Source organism: Homo sapiens, chromosome 3, assembly GCF_000001405.40.
Source record: "Homo sapiens chromosome 3, GRCh38.p14 Primary Assembly".
NCBI classification, from domain to species: domain Eukaryota; kingdom Metazoa; phylum Chordata; class Mammalia; order Primates; family Hominidae; genus Homo; species Homo sapiens.
In genome coordinates, this window is record NC_000003.12 from 128,746,721 (window position 1) to 128,769,862 (window position 23,142).

Below are 23,142 nucleotides of genomic sequence, written 5' to 3' on the forward strand. Positions count from 1 at the left end.
GGGTTTCACCATGTTAGCCAGGGTGGTCTCGATCTCTTAACCTCGTGATCCACCCGCCTTGGCCTCCCGAAGTGCTGGGATTACAGGTGTGAGCCACCCGGCCCGGCCGGGGTTCAACTTTTTAAGATTCAACACATTGGTGATATCACGTGGTAATTGTTTTTCTGAGGTGATAGATATATGTTAGTTAGCTTAACTTAATCATTCCATATTGTATACATATATCTAAACATCACATGGTACCCATAAATGTATACAATTATGATTTGGTAATTAAAAATCATATTAACTGAAACATAATAGGCTGGGTGCGGTGGTTCACATACCTGTAATCCCAGCACTTTGGGAGGCCGAAGGGCAAAGATCACTGAGGCCAGGAGTTTAATCAGCCTGAGCAACATAGCAATACTCTATCTCTACAAAAAAATAGGCTTGTTGGTGTATATCTGTAGCCCTAGCTACTTGTGAGGATCAGGCAAGAGTATTGCTTGAGCCCAGAAGTTTGAGATTACAGTGAGCTATGATCCTGCCACTGTACTCCAGCCTGGGTGACAGAACAAGACCCTGTCTCTTAAAAAATAATCGGCCGGGCGCAGTGGCTCACGCCTGTAATCCCAGCACTTTGGGAGGCCGAGGTGGGCAGATGACCTAAGGTCAGGAGTTCAAGACCAGCCTGACCAACATGGAGAAACTCCATCTCTACTAAAAATACAAAATTAGCTGGGCATGGTGGCACATGCCTGTAATACCAGCTACTTGGGAGGCTGAGGCAGGAGAATTGCTTGAACCCAGGAGGCGGAGGTTGCAGTGAGCCGAGATCACGCCATTGCACTCCAGCCTGGGCAAGAAGAGCAAAACTCCATGAAATAATGAAATGAAATGAAATAAAGAAATGAAATGAAATGAAAAGAAAATGAATCTCAGCCACCCCACATACTTGGTTTATTTCTTGGCCTCAGCTGTCCATTGGTGCCACTTTATTTCTAGCTGTGTGGTGGGTCTTTGGGCCTGCAGGAAGCAAAGGATTCTTTTTCATTTTGTTTTGTTTTGTTTTGTTTTGTTTTTTGAGACGAGTCTCACTCTGTCTCCCAGGCTAGAGTGCAGTGGTGTGATCTTGGCTCACTGCAACCTCCGCCTCATGGGCTCAAGCAATTCTCCTGCCTCAGCCTCCCAAGTAGTTGGGATTGCAGGCACGTGCCACCACGCCCAGCTAATTTTTGTATTTTTAGTAGAGACGAGGTTTCACCATGTTGGCCAGGCTGGTTTTGAACTCCTGACCTCAAATGATCCACCCACCTCTGCCTCCCAAAGTGCTGGGATTACAGGCATGAGCCACTGTGCCCGGCCAGCAAAGTGTTCTTAAGATGAAGTTTGACAAACATCCTAGAGGCCCCCTACTGGCCCTGGCACTTGCCATAGGGATGAGGCTCAGGTCACATCATCTGGTCGCTCAGCATGGAGGGATTTGGTTCCTAAGATTATCGTTGGGGACAGGTGACTCCTTCTGGGTTTCCTCCACTGCTGCTGGTACATTGAGTGGAGGGGGTTATGTTAATATTGGTCTCATTTTCAGGTCGAGTAAGGGACTGGCAGGCATGGTGGCTTTTCTGGTGGTCTTCTGCCCTAACACTTGTTCTTCTCAGCTGGCTGACTTTTAGAAGTAACCAAGGTAAAGGTGGGAAAGGCAGGCTAGCTTAGACTCCTCCTCTTTGAGTAGACAGGGAAGGTGGAATATACTTTGGGGAATGGGGAAGAATTGGTGGGACCCCCAGAAGGCAGGGGCTGCACTCTCTTGATGGAGCCTTCCTCCAGTTTCCTATACACCAGGACTAGGTATGTGGCCATGGTGTAGTCATATTTGTTTTCCCAACAAGGACTCCTGGATGTGGTCTGCCTTGAACCCCATGGACACCATGAGCTGTGTCTTTCCGTGGACTTGGTAATGAGGGAGTGGCTCCTGGTGTGGCCTTAGTATCCCCTGGTCGTTATTGACTCATGGATGCCCCATAATCTAGCCTATTGTGTTCCTCTTCCTGGGGTTGAGGGTAAGCAGTTTGTTCATGAGGCTTTCTAGTTCTGAGGAAATGAAGAATGGGATTTTGTAATTCCCGTAACATATCTCGTCTTGCAGTTCCACAAAGGTCAGTCTGACAAATGGCAAGACCTTGTCACCATGGTGTAGAGAAGGTCTCCCAGGCTCCACAAATCCACTGGGGCAGGGAGAAGGGTGGTCATAATTTTGTCCCTGGAAGATTTCTGAGGCAGCATAAGGGGGACTCCCACAAAATGTGCCCAGATTCTGGCTAACAGTGAACCTGCTGCCAAAGCCAGAGTCTGCTGTTTTTATGTTGTAATTGGTATCCAGAAGGAAGTTCTCTGGCTTCAGGTCCCTGTGGACAATTTTCTTCTGGTGGCAATACTGCACAGTAGATACTGTTTGCAGGAACTGGCCTCAGGTCTCTTTCTCCTTTCTGTGGCCATACTCTAGGATGTAGTCAAATAGCTCTGCTCTGCTGGCACATTCCAGGACTAAATATAATGTTTCTGTTGTCTTGGTTGCTTGAGAGAGTTTGCTGATATTGGAGTGATTCAGGACCTTCATTATACTGAATATATATATACTTTGGTATAGTCTCTGGAGGCTGGAGGAGCTCTGCTGAGCTTTGTGGATGACCTTCATGGCTATCTGGGTCTCAGTCAGAATATGCCAGGCCAGCTTCACCTTAGCGAAGCTACCCCGGCCGATGGTCTTGAGGACCCTGTAATTGTAAATAAGTGTCTCCTCACCAGACAAGGTGAGACCCTGCTACATGGTGACTGATATGGTTTGGCTGTGTCCCCACCCAGATCTCATCTTGAATTCCTATTTGTTGTGGGAGGGACCCGGTGGGAGGTAATTGAATCATGGGGGCAGGTCTTTCCTGTGCTGTTCTCATGATAGTGGATAAATCTCATGAGATCTGATGGCTATTGAGAGTTTCCCTGCACAAGCGCTCCTCTCTTTGCCTGCCGCCATCCATGTGAGATGTGACTTGCTCCTCCTTGCCTTCTGCCGTGATTGTGAGGCTTCCCCAGCCACGTGGAACTATAAATCCAGTTAAACCTCTTGGTTTTGTAAATTGCCCAGTCATGGGTATGTCTTTATCAGCAGCATGAAAAAGGACTAATATGGTAAATGGGTACCAGTAGAGTGGGGTGCTGCTGAAAAGATAACCAATAATGTGGAAGCCACTTTGGAACTGGGTAACAGGCAGAGATTTGAAGGGTTTGGAGGGTTCAGAAGAGGACAGGAAAATGTGGGAAAGTTTGGAACTTCCTAGAGACTTGTTGAATGGCTCTGACCAAAAGCCTGATAGCAATATGGACAATAAGGCCCAGGCTGAGGTGGTCTCAGATGGAGATGAAGAACTTGTTGGGAACTAGAGCAAAGGTGGCTCTTGTTATGTTTTAGCAAAAAGACTGGTGGCATTTTGCCCCTGACCTAGAAATTTGTAGAACTTTTAACTTGAGAGAGATGATTTAGGGTATCTGGAGGAAGAAATTTCTTTTTCTTTTTTTGAGACAGAGTCTCACTGTTGTTGCCCAGGCTGGAGTGCCATGATGCGATGTCAGCTCACTGCAGCCTCTGCCTCCCGGGTTCAAGTGATTGTCCTGCTTCAGCCTCCTGAGTAGCTGGGATTACAGGTGCCCGCCACCACGCCCAGCTAATTTTTGTATTTTTAGTAGAGACGGGTTTTCACCATGTTGGCCAGGCTGGTCTCGAACTCCTGACTTCAGGTGATTCACCTGCCTCAGCCTCCCAAAGTGCTGGGGTTACAGGTGTGAGCCACCGAGCCTGGCCAGCCAAAGAAATTTCTAAGCAGCAAAGCATTCAAGAGGTGATTTGGGTACTATTAAAGGCATTCAGTTTTATAAGGGAAGCAGAGCATAAAAGTTAGGAAAATTTGCAGCCTGACATTGAAATAGAAAGTAAAAACTTATTTTCTGAGGAGAAATTCAAGCCCTTACAGAAATTACAAGTAGCTGAATGTTAACTCCCAAGACAATGGGGAAAATGTCTCCAGGGCATGTCAGAGGTCCTCATGGCAGCCCTTCCCATCACAGGCCTGGAGGCCTAGGAGAAGATGGTTTCATGGGCCGGGCCTAGGGTCCCCGTGGTTTGTGCAAACTGGGGACTTGGTGCCCTGCGTCTCAGCAGCTCCAGCCGTGGCTGAAAGGAGCCAATGTAGAGCTCAGGCTGTGGCTTCAGAGGATGCAAGCCCCAAGCTGTGGCAGCTTCCACGTGGTGCTGAGTCTGCGAGTGCACAGAAGTCAAGAATTGAGGTTTGGGAACCTCTGCCTAGATTTCAGAGGATGCATTGAAATGCCTGGATGTCCAGGCAGAAGTTTACTGCAGGGGCAGGACTCTCATGGAGAACCTCTGCTAGGGCATTGTGGAAGGGAAATGTTGGGATGGAGCCCCCACACAGAGCTCTCCACAGGGAGACTGCCTAGTGGAGCTGTGAGAAGAGGGCCACCATCCTTCAGACCCCAGAATAGTAGATGCACCAACAGCTTGCACCATCCACTTGGAAAAGCTACAGATACTCAACACCAGCCTGTGAAAGCAGCCAGGAGGGAGGCTGTACCCTGCAAAGCCTCAGGGGTGGAGCTGCCCAAGACCATGGGAACCCACCTCTTGCTTCAGTGTGACGTGGATGTGAGACATGGAGTCAAAGGAGATCATTTTGGAGATTTAAGATTTAAATGCCCTGCTGGATTTTGGACTTGGATGGGGCCTGTAGCCTCTTTGTTTTGACCAATTTCTACCATTCAGAACAGCTGTATTTACCCAATGCCTTTACCTCCATTGTAGCTTAGAAGTAACTAACTTGCTTTTGGTTTTACAGGCTTATAAGCAGAAGGGACTTGCCTTGTCTCAGATGAGACATTGGACTGTGGACCTTTGTGTTAATGCTGAAATGAGCTAAGACTTTGGGGGACTGTTGGGAAGGCAAGATTGGTTTTGAAATGTGAGGACATTAGATTTGGGAATGGCCAGGGGCAGAATGATATGGTTTGACTATGTCCCCATCCATATCTCATCTTGAATTCCCATCGGTTATGGGAGGGACCCAGTGGGAGGTAATTGAATCATGGGTGCAGGTCTTTTCCATGCTGTTCTCGAGTTAGGGAATAAGTCTTACGAGATCTGATGGTTACAAAAAGGGGAGCTTCCCTGCACAAGCATTCCTCTCTTTGCCTGCCACCATACATAAGATGTGACTTGCTCCTCCTTGCCCTCTGCCATGATTGTGAGGCTTCCCCAGCCATGTAGAATTGTAAGTCCAGTTAAACCTCTTTCTTTTGTAAATTGCCCAGTCTTGGGTATGTCTTTATCATCAGCATGAAAACAGATTAATACAGTGTGACCTCCTAGCTACACTAACTACAAATCCTAAGAATGCTAACCAGTAATACTGGTGCTACAAACTATGCTAACTAACTAATGAACATAATACTAACAATACCAACTGTATACTGACTACACTAACAGTGATAACCAACAATACTAATAATGCTAACCAGCAACATTAACTAAATAAAAAATGAAAAAATGAGAAAAACAACAAAGGAAGTGGAAGAAAAATGGGAAGAAGATATAAGAATTTAAAAAGTGGGACAAAAGAGTAAAGGAGGATGAGAAAATAAAAAGAAAAAATAATAAGAAAAAGGAAATAAAAAAATGACAAAAAGAAAAATGAGGACAAAGACAAAGTAGAGAAAAAAGAAATAAAATAGAAAAAAACACTACACATGAGGAAACAACATAATTGTGGTCTCTGTTTGTCAGGTCACCAAAAATCAGCTTACTGGGCTGTGCAGACCAAAAACCTACATCCAGCCAAGTGCTTATTTAGGTGTTTGTAATTCCAGAACAATGGCTCCTTATAATATCCAGAGCAAGAAATGGGCCAGTTGTAGCTAGGAATAATCCATAGTGGTTTTCTCACTTTTGGTCTCAAGAAGCTTTTCCTCTTTTTTTTTTTTTTTTTAAAGTGTTTATTCTTTAGGTGGGTTATAGAGGTTGATATTTATTTTTTTTGAAACCTGAAGTATGCTACAACAGCCTTTTTTATTTCCAGGTTCAAAATCTCTAACACCTTTTGGCTTTTAAACATGTCATAATGTGTACACTCAAAATATTCAATACCTTTTTCTGAATTAAACTCTGAATGTTTGGTCTCAAAATGATGCTACAAATTAACTGACATCATGATACCCTAAGGAAATGTTCTGTTGCATAAGACACAATTGGGTACATTATTAACATCTGTAGAATGGAGAGGAGGATATCTATTATTATAATTTCCCCAGAAGATCATCATCGGATTTCTCTTCAGAACCTTCAGGAACACAAGTTAGTGGGTGGATGTATTCAGTTATTGATGGAAGAAAACTGTCAGTTATGAATTCTAGATCCAGCAAAACTGAAATATTGTCATATGCAGCAACATGGATGAAACTGGAGGCCATTATGTTAAGTGAAGTTAGCCAAGCACAGAAAAACAAATATTGCATGTTCTCACTCACATGTCAGAGCTAGAAAAGTAGATTTTATGAAAATAGAGCATATATTGGTGGGGAAGCAGATAGAGGATGAAGGGGGGGGAAAAAGAATGTAAATATATTTATTACCCTGAACTGTATACTTAAAAATGATAAAGATAGTAAATTTCGTATGCGTGTGTGTGTTTAACCTCAATAAAAAATATTTTAAAAAATGAGGGTGGAATTAAAACATCCTCAGATGTCTTAGTCTTTTTGTGCTGCTATAACAAAATACCTTAAGACTGGATAATTTATGAAGAACAGAAATTTGTTTCCCACAGTTCTGAAGGTTGGGGGAAGTCCAAAATCAAGGCTCCAGCAGATACAGTGTTTGATAAGTTGCCCTCTGCTTTCAAGATGGTCCCTTGTTTCTGTGTCCTCACTTGGCAGAAGGAATGAACTTGCTCCCTTGAGTCCTTATATAAAGTCATTAATCCTATCCATAAGGGTGGAGCTAGTATGGCCTAATCATCTCATGAAAGCCCCACCTCTTTATTTTTTATTTTTGGTAGAGATGGAGTCTCACTGTGTTGCCCAGGCTGGTGTCAAATTCCTAGGCTCAAGTGATCCTTCTGCTTGGGCCTCAAAAGTGCTGTGGTTACAGGTGTGAGCCACACCTCTTAATCCTGTTGCATTGGGGATTAAGTTTCAAAATGAATTTTGGAGGAACACAAACACTAAAACTACAGCACCAGATGATTCAAAAGCTTAACGAGTTTGTTACCACTAGATCTCCCTTCATGAAGGAAGTCATGAAGGTTGAAATAAAAGGACATTAGACAGGAAATCAAATCTGTATGAAGATATAATCATGTCTGATAAAGGTAAATACATGAAAAATTATAAAAGCTAGTAGTGTTTCTGTTTTCTACATGATTTAAGAGACTTATGTATCAAGAAGTTATTAGTCTGTGTTTTGGACACACAACACATTGAGATGTAGTTTTGTGGCATTAATGGCTGAAAGGTGATGGGGTTGGAGCTGTATAGGAGCAGTTTTTATATGTTATTGAAGTTAACTTGGTATACATTCACATCAGAGTAGTATAACTTCAGGGTGTTAAATATCAGCCCCATGGTAACCAAAAAGAAAATAACTGTAGGATATACACAAAAGGAAATGAAAAGGGGATTAAAATGTTTTTCTACAAAGATCAACTAAACACAAAATAAGATAATAATGCAGGAAATAGGGGACAAAACAACTGTGAGGCATATATACAAAACAAACAGCAAAATGACAAAAGTTCTGCCTTATCAGTGTTTAAATGTAAATAGCTTAAACCCTGCAGTCCAAAGACAGATTGGCAGAATGGATAGAAAAACATCCAGCTTCTAGCCATAAGAGACCCACTTTAGATGAAAGACAAAAAAATTTAATGTGACAGGATGGAAAAAGATACTCTCTTCATATAGTAACCAAAAGAGATCGGGGTTGCTACACTAATATCAGACAAAATATACTTTAAATCAAAAAAGTTTACGAGACAAAGCAGGACATTATATATTAATAAAAGGTTTAATACGGCAAAAAGACAAAACACACTAATAACAGACCACTCAAATATGTGAAACATGACTGATAATGGAAGGGAGAAATAGTTCTACAGCAGTAGTTGGGGACTTTAATGGGTAGAAGAACCAGGCAGAAGGTAAGTAGGGAAATAGAATATAGTACTTGAACAATATAAGAAACCAAGTAGATCTTACAGACATACACGGGGCATTCTACTCAACAACAGAATGCATCTTCTTCTTAAGTGGACTTAGGACCTTCTTTAGGATAGACCATACATTAGGCCAGAAATTAAGATTCAAGAGATTTTTAAAAATACGATACCAAGTATTTTCTTTGACAAAATGGGATGAAGTGAGAAATCAGTAACAGAAGGAAAACTGGAGACTTTATGTAAATTAAGTAACACCCTCTTCAAGAACCAGTGGTCAAAGGAGAAATCACAAGGGCAATTAGAAAAAAAAGGATTAGAAACAATTTAACAGACAGAAAATAAAACATTGCAAAACTTATGATATGCCACAAAAGCAGTGTTAAAGGAGGAAATTTACAGCTATAAATGCCTTCATTAAAAAAAGGATGAAGATCTCAAATCACCAATCTAACTTTTTACACCTTAACAAAGTAGAAAACAACAAACTCAAAGCTAGCAGAAAGAAGGAACTAATACAGTAGAGATAAATAAAATAGAAAAATTCAGCAAATCCAAAAGTTAGTTCTTGGAAAAGACTAACAAAATTGACAATCCCTTACCTAGATTGACTAGGCCCGAGATGAGAATCTCAAATTCATAACCACCTTTCTTTGCTCAGTTCCTGGGACTGTACTCTTTCCACCTTGGACGATGCCATCTCCTCAACCTGGAAAGTGATATGATTTTATTTTATTTTATTTTATTTTTAACTTTTGGAAGATTTTTTAATTTCATGAATAATGGTAATGATTTTTTTTAAATTATACTTTAAGTTTTAGGGTACATGTGCACAACGTGCAGGTTAGTTACATATGTATACATGTGCCATGCTGGTGTGCTGCACCCATTAACTCGTCATTTAGCATTAGGTATATCTCCTAATGCTATCCCTCCCCCCTAAAGTGATATGATTTTATATGTAGGGAACTGTAAAAATTTCTCACACATAAAACCCTTTTGGATCTGATAAACTCATTCAGCAAAATTGCAGGTTACAGAATCAACAAAAGTTCTGTTTCTATAACATTAACAACGGGCCGGGCACAGTGGCTCATGCCTGTAATCCCAGCACTTTGGGAGGCTGAGGCGGGTGGATCACAAGGTCAGAAGTTCGATACCAGCCTGACCAACATGGTGAAACCCCGTCTCTACTAAAAATACAAAAATTACCTGGGTGTGGTGGCACATGCCTGTAATCCCAGCTACTTGGGAGGTGGGAGGCTGAGGCAGGAGAATCGCTTGGAGGCAGGAGAATCGCTTGAACCCAGGAGGCGGAGGTTGCAGTGAGCCGAGATTGTGCCACTGCACTCCAGCCTGGGCAACAGAGCAAGACTTTGTCTCAAAAAAAAAAAAATTAACAATGAACAATCTGAAAAGGAAATTAAGAAAGCAGTTATATTTACAATATCATGGAAAAGAATAAAATAGTAAATTAGGTAGGAGAAAGACATGTATAGAAAGCTACAAAACATTGCAAAAAGAAATTAAAGACTTTAATAAATGGAAAGGTAACTCATGTTCATGGATTTAAAAACTTACTATTGTTAGGATCACAGTACTCCCCAAAGTAAGAAATGCAATGCAGTTCTTACTAAAATCTCAATGATGGTTTTGCAGAAAATAGAAAAATCCATCCTAACATGGATACAGAAAATCATGGGATCTCCAGTAGCCAAAATAATCTTGAAAACACACAACCAAGTTGGAGGTCTCACACTTCCTGATTTCAAAATGTACTGCAAAGCTACACCAATGAAAACAGTGTGGTAATGGCCGAGGTTCATATTTGGACTGTTGGGGTTTTTCACCTTAGTATTCGCTATCTTTTTTTTTTTTTTTTTGAGACGGAGTTGCGCTCTGTCACCCACGCTGGAGTGCAGTGGCATGATCTCAGCTCACTGCAAACTCCACCTCGTGGGTTCAAGCGATTCTCCTGCTTCAGCTTCCCAAGTAGCTGGGACTACAGGCGCGCACCACCACGCCCGGCTCATTTTTGTATTTTTTAGTAGAGACGGGGTTTTGCCATATTGCCCAGGCTGGGCTTGAATCCCTGGCCTCAGGTGATCCACTCACCTCCACCTCCCAAAGTGCTGGGATTGCAGGTGTGAGCCACCACACCTGGCCCAGTCCCACTCTTGTACATACATCACCACCACCTATTTCCAGAACCTTTCCTCATGCCAACCAGAGACTATGCAAATTAAGCAGTTATTCTCCATTTTTTTCTCTCCCAGCCATACTTGATAGAACATGAATATCAGATAAGTGCTATGGAGAACAGTAACACAGGGTGAAGTGAAAGTGTGCCATTTTATGTAGGATGGTTGGGGAAAGATGGCATTTGAGCCACTGATGGTGCAGGAGAGGGAACAAGTGTGATATTGAGGCCAGGTGTGCTTAGCAGTTTGAAAGCAAAGCTAGAAGTACAGGCGAGGCAGAGGCACAAGATGAATGTTTTATATTTTATTTTTTAAATAAAATATTTTTATTTATTTTAAAAACAATTTTTTTTTTTTTGAGACCAAGTCTTGCTGTGTTACCCAGGCTGGAGTATAGTGGCATGATCTCAGCTCACTGCAACCTCTGCCTCCTGGGTTACAAGTGATTTCTCCTGCCTCATTCTCCTAACTGGGACTACAGGTGCCCACCACCACGCCCAGCTAATTTTTGTATTTTTAGTAGAGGTGGGGTTTTACCATGCTGGCCAGGCTGGTCTTGAACTCCTGACCTCAAGTGATCCACCTGCCTCAGCCTCCCAGAGTGCTGGGATTATAGGCATGAGCCACTGTGCCTGGCCTAAGAAAAATATTTTTAAGAAAACAGAGACAAGGTCTTGCTGTGTTGCCCAGGCTGGTCTCCAACTCCTGGGCTTAAGCAGTCTTCCTGCCTCAGCCTCCCAAAGTGCTGGAGTTACACTTGTGAGCCACTGCGCCCAGCCTATTTTATTTTTTTTATTTTTAGAGTCAGGGTCTTGCTCTGTCACCCAGGCTGGAGTACAGTGGTGCGATTGTAGCTCACTCTAACTTCAAAGTTCTGGGCTCAAGCAGTCTTCTGTCCTTGGCTTCGCAAATCACTGGGATTACAGGTGTGAGCCACCACACCTGGCTAATTTTTAAATTTTTTTGTAGAGGCAGCCTCTCACTATATTGGTTAGGCTGGATTTGAATTTCCGGCCTCAAATGATCTTCCTGCCCTAGCCTGTCAAATTGCTGGGGTTACAGGTGTGAGCCACCACCCCAGTGTTTGTTTTTTTGTTTTTTTTTTTTTTTTGAGACAGAGTCTGGCTCTGTCGCCCAGGCTGGAGTGCAGTGGCGCTATCTCGGCTCACTGCAAGCTCCGCCTTCCAGGTTCACGCCATTCTCCAGCGTCAGACTCCCGAGTAGGTGGGACTACAGGCGCCCGCCACTACGCCCAGCTAATTTTTTTTTGTATTTTTAGTAGAGACGGGGTTTCATCGTGTTAGCCAGGATGGTCTCGGTCTCCTGACCTCGTGATCCGCCCGCCTCGGCCTCCCAAAGTGCTGGGAATTACAGGCGTGAGCCACTGGCCCAGCCTCCTGCGTTTGGTTTTTTAATTCTGCTTGTTTGTAGTGACATTCATCAAGAATGAATGACTTTAAAACAACAACGAAAAATCTTTAGGGATTTTTACTCTTGGGCAAGCATGCTTCTGTCTCTGAGCATTAGTTTTCTCATATATCAGATAAAAGGGTTTGGAGTATATCAATGATATTCTGGTTGTGGACAGAACTCTTGAGGGTTCCTTGAACATGATCCTTTGGTAGCATTGGATTGCTCTCGGCCATCCCACGAATAGCTGTGTTTTATCTGTTTTTTGCTTAAGATTTAACATATGAGTTCATTTGAAATGTTTCTGTTGCCACAAAGAAACAAAATCCCTGGCTCAGAGTTTTAAGGGGACTTACTGTTCTAATGCTACTCACTCAGGCTTTGGTTGAGTAGTAAACAGACTACAGCTTGTTTTTAAGTTCAGTGATCTTCAACTTACAGCCCCTGTGTTTTACAAATGAGTTAAATTAAGATCAGTATCTTCTGTTCAAATTCTTTTTCCAAAGAAATCCAAATGTGCCATAAGCTGATAGGTCTCTGGCCATGAAATATGGTTTCATAGTTACATTGAGATTGTTGAGTAGCTACAGGGAAACTGAGAATTTACATTCTGAGGCAAATGGTTTAACCTAAGAGGAATAAGATTAAGTAAACTGTGTATTAGCTCCTCATAATGTGGCAGGAATTCAGTGTTAGCGGTGGAAAAGCCACAGGAGCTTAATGTGGTAGGTAAGGAAGGTTTATGTTAGTTCCTTTCCCCGATTATCCCAGTTGCTGTGCATTGCCATCTCGGATCAGTTTCTAGCCATGACTACCTAAAAGTTGTCTGAGGGAGGCTGTGCACTGGGTGATCTTGTGAGGCAGGTGGACGTCTATTCTGCCAAGATCTTGTGGGCCCAGTTTGAGAATGGGTTTTAAGTTTTAGTCCTTTTACACTTCCTTTGCAGGAATGTAGCTTTTGAAATAGAAGCAAAGTGTTGTGAAACCTTTGACATTCTGTTCTTTAACACTTCCTCCTCAGCCTGAAGATCTCAGCTTTTGCTTGGGCGTTACAACACCCCATGGTACCTGAACCTCAAGTAAGCTCTGTTAGGTTTTCATATCTGCCCGTGTATGATGGTGACTTTTTTTTTTTCTGAGACGGAGTTTCGCTCTTGTTACCCAGGCTGGAGTGCAGTGGCGCAATCTTGGCTCACTGCAACCTCCGCTTCCTGGGTTCTAGCGACTTCTCCTGTCTCAGCCTCCCAAGTAGCTGGAATTACAGGCATGCACCACCACGCCCGGCTAATTTTGTATTTTTAGTAGAGACGGGGTTTCTCCATATTGGTCAGGCTGGTCTCTAACTCCCGACCTCAGGTGATCTGCCTGCCTCGGCCTCCCAAAGTGCTGGGATTATAGGCGTGAACCACCATGCCCAGCCTCGATGATGACTTATGAGTCAATTTGACTGGTCCTCAGGTGCCCAGATATGTGGCTAAACATTATTCTGGGTGTGCCTGTGAGGGTGTTTCTGGATGAGATTTGGTGGACTGAGTGAAGGTGGCTGCCCTCCCCAGCGTGGGTGAGCTTCATCCACGGGAGGCTGCTTAGAGAAGGAGGCTGAGCAGGAAAGTCTTCTTTCTCCGCCTGACCGTGCTTGAGATGGGACATAGGTGTTCTTTGCCCTCTGGACTCCAGGCTGCAACTAGAGCTTAACTCTGTCAGCTCTCCCGATTCTCAGACCTCCCAACTGCAGGTCATGGGACTTCTCAGCCTACATAATCCTGTGAGCCAATTCCTTGTAATAACTGTCTTTATGTGTAATCTATTGGTTCTGTTTATCTCTGGAGAGCCCAAATACTCCAGCAATAATGGAGTCACTTTTTCCCAGAGATAGGTTTTATCTTGGAGGATTCTTATATTGATCCTTCCCATATCTCTGTTTCAGAAACACTTCCTACAATGTAGAGTGCTAATAGCTGGTTTGTGAGTACCCCTTAGATATACTGGGATGAGCAATAAGGTCAATGCTGTCACCTAACCGTCTGTTGATTGTCAAGCCTTTGTGTGGAAGCAAGGAAATTCATCTAGCAATCATAACAAAGGCAAAGCCTGGAGTGTAAGGTGGTTAGGTTTTTGGCTAGCAAGAGCTGCAGAAAAACAGCCTCTAGCTTAAACTGAGTTATAAACATATGGAACTAGTGTAGGCCTTGAAATCTTTTGTGGTCGAATCCTCTTTGTAGGGGAACCTAGGCAAAATCATGTCATTTCCACTGCCGGTCCCATAGCGACTTCAGTTAAGGTATAGACCTATATAAAGTGTTTTATCCCTTAAAAAGCTTCATCTCCCATTTGCCTGTGGAATCCTCCCTACAACCCTAAGAGGTGGAGAGGAAGCCTTTCTTACAGATAAGGATGGAAATTGTACAGATGCACGAATTTGTTTCTAAAGCTAAGTAGAAACAAGAGTACCAAGAGGTCAGATTTTTCCAGCCCCCAAATCCTTGGCGTAAGTGTATAAAAAGTAAGCACAGCTGTTCTTGAGGTTTCTCAGCCTGTTGCCTCCTCCCCATGTTAAAATTCTGGCCTGTATTCTTCTAAGATAATCTCTGTACCCAGTTGAGGATTCAACATCTAGGTATCCTCTTTGGGAAGCGTTCTTAAAGCCCTCATATAATGGGTTAGATTCCTGATCACCTCTAACCCCTTTTGTGTTGAGAGTTTCTTTTGATTACGAAGTCATACATAGTCATTGTTTTAAAACTTAAAATATGGCAAACCATAGTCAAAGTCCTCTATACCCCCCCATCCCACTCGGAGGAAGAAGTCTTGACTATTCTTATGACATCATACATTTATTGCCATTTTCCTGTCTGCTTATCCAGGGTCTCCTTAAACCAAGCTTGAGGTAGGGAGACTATCTTGGTCATCTTTGCATCTCTAGCAGTTGGGCTGGTGCAGGTGCTTGGGAAATGAATCTGTGTTAAGATCACCAGCCTCTGAACAGGCCTTATGTACCAAGGTCTGTGTCCAGATTGGCATGACCTCTGAGTTAACAGTCCTTTATTTAGATCTTTAAGACTGAGTTCTCTGCCACAGATTTGCCCTCTGGAAAAAGGCACCTCTCCTCTAGAGCAGCAGCTGTCAACCTATAAATCCTGTTTTGAAAATTGGAATTTTAGTTAAATTACAGGGACAGAGTGTGATTGTATACAATTTAATTAACATATTGAAATAGGGATGTGAATAAGACTACTTTAGGCATTACTGAAAAGCAACCGAGCATTTAATGTTTTCATTTATATTTATGCCTGCCAAACTGTGGCACCAGCCCCATCAAGATGTCTGTGGTGCACTTAACTGTGCAGAAGGTGTGGAGCCTTTACATTTCCTCTCCCTGGACTTGGTACCATGTTTGCATGTTTTGCCAGTTATCTTAAAGTGGGATTTTAAATCTATTGTAAAACAAAAATAAACTTCATGGTACTTAATGCCACTGAAATATACACTTAAAAATGGTGAAAATGGTAATTGTTTTAATATTTTACCACAGTAATTTATGTAGGAATACTTTCTATAACTTTGTGCTAATAAATTTGAAAACCCGGAGGGGAAATTGTGCTGGCAGTGTTGAACTATGGGTCAGTTTGTTCTAGGCTACAGATAGACTTTCCTGTGTGAAGATTAAAGATGAAAAAGGCTAAGGAGGAGGGACAAGGGAAAAGAAAAGTGGAAATTTTAAGGGTTCCTGCTAACTCTTCCCAAGGAATTGGAAGGAGTGTTTACTAAGTGTTCCATTCCCGTTTAAGCTCTCTTCTCCCAACACAGTTAACCAAGCAAACTGTTACTTATTCTTTATAATAAAATTCCTCCCCGTCACAGTTTTTCTTAACCTCCTCAAGTCTTATCACCCCCCTACTTCCCACCGTGACCCTCAAAATGGAAGTGATTATATGAAGACCTGAAGGATTACTTAAATCTCAGTGAGTATTGAGTGCCTTCTGGGAGTGGGGAGTGAGATGGGGTGAGAGTTACTGGTCAGACAAACTTGGAGTACTTTGGAAGGTTTGCTTTGGGGCATTTCTTATTGTTGAAGTTACCTGGACCCCACTTCAGTGGGAGAGCCTGAGGGTGGAGATTAGAAGCAGAATCTGTTTAGCTAGATTAGGATCCAGTGAGAGCTTCTGCCTCAACTGTCCTGTTCAGAAAGCCACTCCTCCTCTAATGTGGAATAGCTTCACAGTTTATTATGAAAAAATGTCAGACATATACAAAGCAAAGAGACTCAGTGTAAAAGATACACTCTCCTACCTACTTTCAACAGTTAGCATTTTCTGTATTTGCTTTATCTGTTCTTTCAGTTGAGCTACTACAAAGTAAATTAGACCTCATGATACTTCACCTGTAAATGCTCTCAAGTCCTTTAATCTAGAATGTGGTCCCTCCTTCCCTTTTTCTGTCATTATCTTTAGTTTTGGAAAGATCAAGCCAGTTGTCCTAACAGAGTGTCCCACATTCTAGGTTTGTCTGGGTGCATCTTTTGATGTTTAATGTATTTCTCTATCCCCACTCTTTCTTGTGAAGTGGAAGTTGGGTCTAAAGGCTTGAGTACATTTAGCTTATATATATATATATATATATTTTTTTTTTTTTTTTTTTTTTTTGAGACGGAGTCTCGCTCTGTCGCCCAGGCTGGAGTGTAGTGGCGCGATCTCAGCTCACTGCAAGCTCCGCCTCCTGGGTTCAGGCCATTCTGCTGCCTCAGCCTCCCGAGTAGCTGGGACTACAGGCACCCGCCACCACGCCTGGCTAATTTTTTTTTGTATTTTTAGTAGAGACGGGGTTTCACCCTGTTAGCCAGGATGGTCTCGATCTCCTGATTTTGTGATCCGCCTGTCTTGGCCTCCCAAAGTGCTGGGATTACAGGCGTGAGCCACCAAGCCCGGCCTAGCTTATATATTTTTGACAAGAATACTTCATTAGGAACCTTTTAATGTCTGATTGTTCCACTATTAGAGACAGTAAGTTTAATCATGGTATTAAGGTAGTCACAGCCATATCACTGCATTGTAAAGATACTTTTCCTTCCCCTACCCCCATTCCTGTGTGATTAGGAAGTGCTCTGTGGGGTAATACTTTGGTGCCATGTGGATCTTTTAGTTTCCCATCCACCTTTCACCTATGGTATCACTGGTGATGTTTACCTGAATCCCTTCATTAAAGATTGCAAAATTATTTTTTATTTCAATCATTTTAAATACATTCCTTCTACTGGCATTCACCTGTTAGATTCCCGCCCCCCCCCCCGCCCCTGCTTTTCAACTAATATAGTTCCTACTTAAAAGACAGGATACATTGTTTTCCTCTACCTACTTATTTTCAGAGTGAGGAGTTATTGTTAGAAGTATTCACTCATCTTTAATGAAATTGTTTTGTTCATCAGATTATTTCAGGAGAGCAAGCAACAAGTGAGCAAAATAATCTGGGCCTGGCAGGACTACAGAGGTCAAAAGGGAGGACATGAGAAGCCACAAGCTGTCCCACAGAGATGGCAGCCTTCTCCCTCCCATTTAGCGGGGCTGGAAATGAGCTCCCTGTGACTCCTTTCTGTCCTTCCCCGGCTCCTCCCAGTCACCTCAGTGTGAGTGATGAGTAGTGCAGTGACAGCCTCGACCACATACCACATTTCTGTCCTGTAATAGCTTTGCTACCGACAACTTTCTTTCTTTTTTTTTTTGGTACCAAATTTCTTTATTTGAAGGAATGGTACAAATCGAAGAACTTAAGTGGATGTTTTGGCACAACTTATAGAAAAGGTAAAGGAAATCCCAACATGCATGCACTGCCTTAGTGACCAGGGAATTCGCCCCATGGCTATGGGGAAATTAGCCTGAGGCTTAGTTTTCATTATCACTGTCTCCCAGGGTGTTCTTGTTAAAGATATATTCTGCCAAGCCAGATTCGGGGGCTCCCATCTTGTGCAAGTTGGTCACGTGGTCACCCAATTCTTTGATGGCTTTCACCTGCTCATTCAGGTAACATGTCTCAATGAAGTCACACAAATGGGGGTCATTTTTGTCAGTGGCTAGTTTGTGCAGTTCCAATAGTGACTGATTCACATTTTTTTCCAAATGTGATGCACACTCCATTGCATTCAGCCCACTCTCCCAGTCATCACAGACTGGTTTCTTGATATCCTGAAGGAAGATTTGGCCACCACGATAGTTTTGCAGCTTCATCAGTTTCTCGGCATGTTCCCTCTCCTCATGAGATTGGTGAAGAAAGTATGTGGCAAAGTTCCTCAAAGCCACATCATCGCGGTCAAAGTTGTAAGACACGGACAGGTAAACGTAGGAGGCGTAGAGCTCCAGGTTGATCTGGCCGTTGATGGCGGCCTCTGAGTCCTGGTGGTAGTTCTGGCGCACCTGCGAGGTGGACGCAGTTGTCATGGCAGCAACTAAGGAGAGGTGGCGGCGGTGGCTGCGCGGCGCTGGAGCGGCGGCGGGGGCCTTGGGATGGTCCGAGGGTGCAGTGAAGAGGGGACAGAGGGCTGGCTACGGGCGGCCGGCCGGGGTGGGGGACGAGCGCTGGGTTCCGTCCAAGCACTGTTGAAGCAGGAAACCCCGACGACTCTCGGCGAAGAATGTCTCTGCTACCCACAACTTTCTCACTGTGCCAAAATCAGTGCCTGTCCAGTACCCTCGCCTTTTCTACCTCTCCTCTGCTAGCGATACTGTGTTTAAGTCGAGTGACCTTCCTCTCCTTCCTCACCATCCCTGCTTCTCACACTTACCCATACTCTTACTAAATCAGCTTACCATTACTCTTGCTAATTCAACTCAAGTAATACAATTAAACACCTCCTAAAATGAAGAAATCCCTTACATCTTCAGTTAACCTCTGTCTTAGTTCCTTTGGGCTATTGTTGCAAGATATCTTAGACTGGATAATTTATAAACAACAGAAGTTTATTGCCCACAGTTTGGAGGCTGAGGAAGTCCATTATCAGGGCTCCAATAGATTCACTGTCTAGTGAGGGTCACACTTCTGGATGGTGTCTTTTATGTGTCCTCACATGGTGGAAGGGGCGAGGTGGCTCGCTGCAGCCACTTTCCTAAGGGCCCTAGTCCCATTCACAAGGTCCCTGCCCTTCCTGACTTAATCACTCCCCCAAAGGCTCTACCTCTACTTTTTTTTTTTTTTTTTTCCCGAGACAGAGTTTCTCTCTTGTCGCCCAAGTTGGAGTACAATGGCTCAGTCTCGGCTCACTGCAACCTCCGCCTCCCAGGTTCAAGTGATTTTCCTACCTCAGCCTCCCAAGTAGCTGGGATTACAGGTGCATGCCACCACTCTGGGCTAATTTTTATATTTTTAGTAGAGACGGAGTTTCACCATGTTGGCCAGGCTGGTCTTGAACTCCTGACCTCAGGTGATCCACCCACCTCAGCCTCCCAGAGTGCTGTGATTACAGGCATGAGCCACCACACCCAGCCAGGCCCCACGTCTTAATACTGTCACTTTGGGCCTTAGGCTCCAACATACAAATTTTGCAGGGGCATTAACATTCAGACCAGAGCAGCCCCTCTACTTAGATGTACACCAATGTAAAAATTAACATGAACTCTGATATGCTCCACTGAATACAGAGACTCAAACATGGCACCCTCAATATATAAAATCAGTATGTTTGCAAAATTGCATCTCTCCAGAGGACAGAATCTGAACCAGTTGTTTAACCAGTAAGTTTCAAACAGTGAAACCAAGTAAATAACAGTTATTCAACAATAAATTAGGACACCCAAGAAGTCCTGGGTAACCACCGTCATGGGAAACAGAAGACAGGTCTTTCACTAGGACAGAAGGCATAAAATTGGACTAAATTTATTGTATGGTTCTTTTCTGGGATCATGATTTTAAAATCAACTACCAAGAAGGTTTGAAAATAAAAATCAAAAGTCGACCATGATTTTCTTGGGGGAAGAGAAAACAGCTCCTGAACCAAAGATCACTGTCGACACTGGCAGAGCAGATCCCATAGGAATGGTCATACATTTTGGTTGGTTGGTTTGTTTGTTTATTTTTTGTAGAGATGGCAGAGCAGATCCCATAGGAATGGTCATGTGTGTGTGTTTGGTTTTTTTCTTTATTTTTTATAGAGATGGGGTTTTACCATGTTAACCAGGCTGGTTTTGAACTCCTGAACTCAAGCAATCCACCCACCTCAGCCTCCCAAAGTGCTGGGATTACAGGCATGAGCCATCGTGCCTGGCCTGGGTCATATGTTTAACTCTTTGAGGAACTGCCAGACTGTTTTCCAAAATGGCTGCACCACTTTACATTCCCACCAGCGGTGTAGAAGAGTTCTAATTTCTCCACATGCTCGTCAAAACTCGTTTTCTGTTTTTTTTTTTAATTCTAGTGGTCCTAGTTGGTATGAAGTGGATTCTTCTTTCTTTTGACCATCACTGGGGTCTGATTTGCCCTGATACCATCTCTTGCTGCAGCCTTCATGCCTAGTGCCTGATCCTGCCTCACCCTGCTGCGCGTTGGCATTCAGATTTGACTTAAAATCCGAGTGGCTCAGCCTCTGCTCTGAATTGTCCCTTCAGTCAGGTGTTTGCAACTAGTCTCCTGAGGAGTTGCTGGGTTTGAGTCACAGAATACAAGAGGGATGCCCCTTCCAGGATCTGGGGGTTGGGAAAGTGTGGCAAGGCAGGTTTAAGATAGAAGAGGAAGTCAGCTGTAGCAAGCAAACACATAGACCTGGGCTGTGGGACCCTCGGAAGGGATATGGAGCCAAGCTCTTGGAGTGCCTGAGGAATTAGCCCAAGGAGCTTTGGCTTTCAGTAGCTGCTCCTGTGTGTAGCAAAGCAGGCTGGAGTAGAGTGAAGGGAGCCTGGGGTAAGGAAATAAATTAGGAGTCAAGAAGTAATGATGCAACTAGGATTGTGGAAATGTAAAGAGGTTAGGGAAAGATTTGTATGGCTGGGGCTAAACCAGATGTGATGGTTGGGGTAAAGGGACATAGGAAGTGGTTTTGGGTATGAGAACAAGAGAAAGTGTTCCTCTTGGGAAGGACAGACGGGGTGAGTGGAAAGTTTCTGTCTAATGTGACTTTAGGTGCTAACACAACACAAGGCAGACGTTTGCAGCAGAGAATTAAGAAAAGCTGAAGCTGGAATCCAGATTCAGCAATCGTGAATGCAGTGAGAACTGAGGCAATGCAGAGTGGCTGCTGCTTCCATGTCATCCCCTCAGATAGATATCTGCAGCCTCCTGGCCTCTGACTATACCTTTTATTTATTTATTTTTTAAAGAACAGCTTCATTGGAATATAATTGCCATACATGTTGAAACTATACACTTTGAGTTTTGACATACATATGTATCTATGAATACATACCATTCAAAGATGGTATGTATTGTGTGAAACCATCACCATAGTCAAGAGAATGAACAAATCCATTACCCTGAAGTATCCCAGTATTTCTTCGTAATTCACCCTCCTGCCTACTGCCCTTCCTTACCCCTCTCCAGGTAACCACTGATCTGCTTTCTAGTTCGCATTTTCTGGTATTTTGTATAAATGGGATCTGTATATATACTTTAAGTATACTGTGTATTTATTTGGGGGGGAGTATCTGGCCTCATTCGACATTATTATTTTATTTGTGCTGTATGTATCTATAGTTCATTCCTTTTTGTAGCTCAGTGGTATTTCATTGTATAGCTATATCACAGTTTGATTAGCCTTTCTGTTGATGGACATTTGGGTTGATTCACGTTTCTGGCTGTTACAACAAAAGCTGCTGTGAACACTGGTGCACAAGTCTCTGTCTAGATCTGTGTTTTCATTTCCTTTGGGTAGGTAGCTGTTTCGGAGGGGAATGGTTGGGGCATATGGTAGGCATATGCTTTAACTTTGTTTAAAAAGTTGAAATACTTAATACATCATAAAATTTGCCTATGTAAAGTGTGCGTGTTTTGTTTTGTTTTGTTTTGTTTTTGGAGACAGGGTCTCATTCTGTTGCGCAGGCTGGAGTGTAATAGTTTGATCACAGCTCACTGCACCTTCATCCTCCCAGGCTCAGGTGATCCTTCCACCTCAGCCCCACGAGTAGCTGGAACTAAGGGCACATGCCACCACACCTGGCTAATTTTTTTTTTTTTTTTTGGTAGAGACAATGTCTCACTTTGTTGTCTAGGCTGCTCTCAAACTCCCAGCTTCAGCCTTTCCACCTTAGCTTCCCAAAGTACTGGGATTACAGGCGTGAGACACTGCGCCCAGCCTAAAGTGTGTGCAGTTCAAATATTCACAAGGTTGTACAACCGTCACCATCTAATTACAGAACCGTTTCTTTTCTCTTTTCCTTTCCTTTCCTTTTTTCTTTCTTTCTTTCCTTTTTTTTTTTTTTTTTTTTTTTTTTAAGGAAACAGGGTCTCACTCTCATGGAGCTGGGACCACAGGTGTACACCACCACACCCAGCTGATTTTTGTAATTTTTTGTAGAGACAGGGTCTTGCCATGTTGCCCAGGATTTCTTCAAACTCCTGGGCTCAAGTGATTTGCCTGTCTCTGCTTCCCAGAGTGCTGGGATTACAGGCATGAGCCACCACACCCGGCCCAGAACATTTTCATCACCCCAAAGTATATATCTAACTTTTAAAATGGTTTTTCCCTTTCACATTCTTACCAGCAGTGTACAGGAGTTCCATCTGCTCCATATCCTTGCCAACACAGCATGGTCATTTAAAAAATTTTTAGCCTTTCTAATAGGTATGTGATGGTGTCTCATTATGTTTTTAATTTGTATTTCCCTAAAGATTAGCAGTGTTGAACAGACATGTTTTCACCTGCTTATTCTTTGGTGAAGCATCTATTAGATCTTTTGCCCACTTATTTTATTGGGTTGGTTTTTTTCTTACTGTGTTTGAGAGTTCTTTGTATATTCTGATTACAAGTCTTTTTGTCAGATATGTGATTTCCAAATATTTTCTCTCAGTCTGTGTCTTTCCATTCTATTAATAGTGTTTTTGGAAGAGCAGAAGCTCTTAGTGTTGATGAAGTCCAATTTGTCAATCCTTCTAGGGATTGTGCTTTTGATGTGCTATCTGTTAAAAGACAAAATTACAACACATTTAAAGATCTTAGTTGGCTTTTATTTGCAATTCGTGAATGAGGGCAGCTTCCATTCTACAAAATAGGATGAAAACTCCCAATGGGCAGTAGCAGAAGAATGGGCTTTGTAAGGTGGGAACAGTGAAACAGTAATTGAAAGATAACTGATTGGTTA

The 23,142-nt window shown here is 43.0% G+C and overlaps 1 protein-coding gene and 2 pseudogenes across 1 annotated transcript in view, besides 1 other annotated feature; 1 reads left to right on the plus strand and 2 right to left on the minus strand.

Moving 5' to 3' along the window:
- The window catches only part of RAB7A (RAB7A, member RAS oncogene family), an 88,616-nt gene that overhangs the window by 20,538 nt on the left and 44,936 nt on the right, over positions 1 to 23,142 (plus strand). The gene's annotated exons all lie outside the window — the stretch shown is intronic.
- MARK2P8 (MARK2 pseudogene 8) lies at positions 1,436 to 2,762 on the minus strand (annotated as a pseudogene).
- Positions 11,752 to 12,251: an enhancer, noted in NCBI's record as "H3K4me1 hESC enhancer chr3:128477315-128477814 (GRCh37/hg19 assembly coordinates)". NCBI's record gives its function as "activates a minimal SCP1, AML or CMV promoter by ChIP-STARR-seq in naive H9 embryonic stem cells {active_cell/tissue: H9 hESC(naive)}" and the evidence as "EXISTENCE:reporter gene assay evidence [ECO:0000049][PMID:30033119]".
- On the minus strand, positions 17,586 to 18,497 carry FTH1P4 (ferritin heavy chain 1 pseudogene 4; annotated as a pseudogene).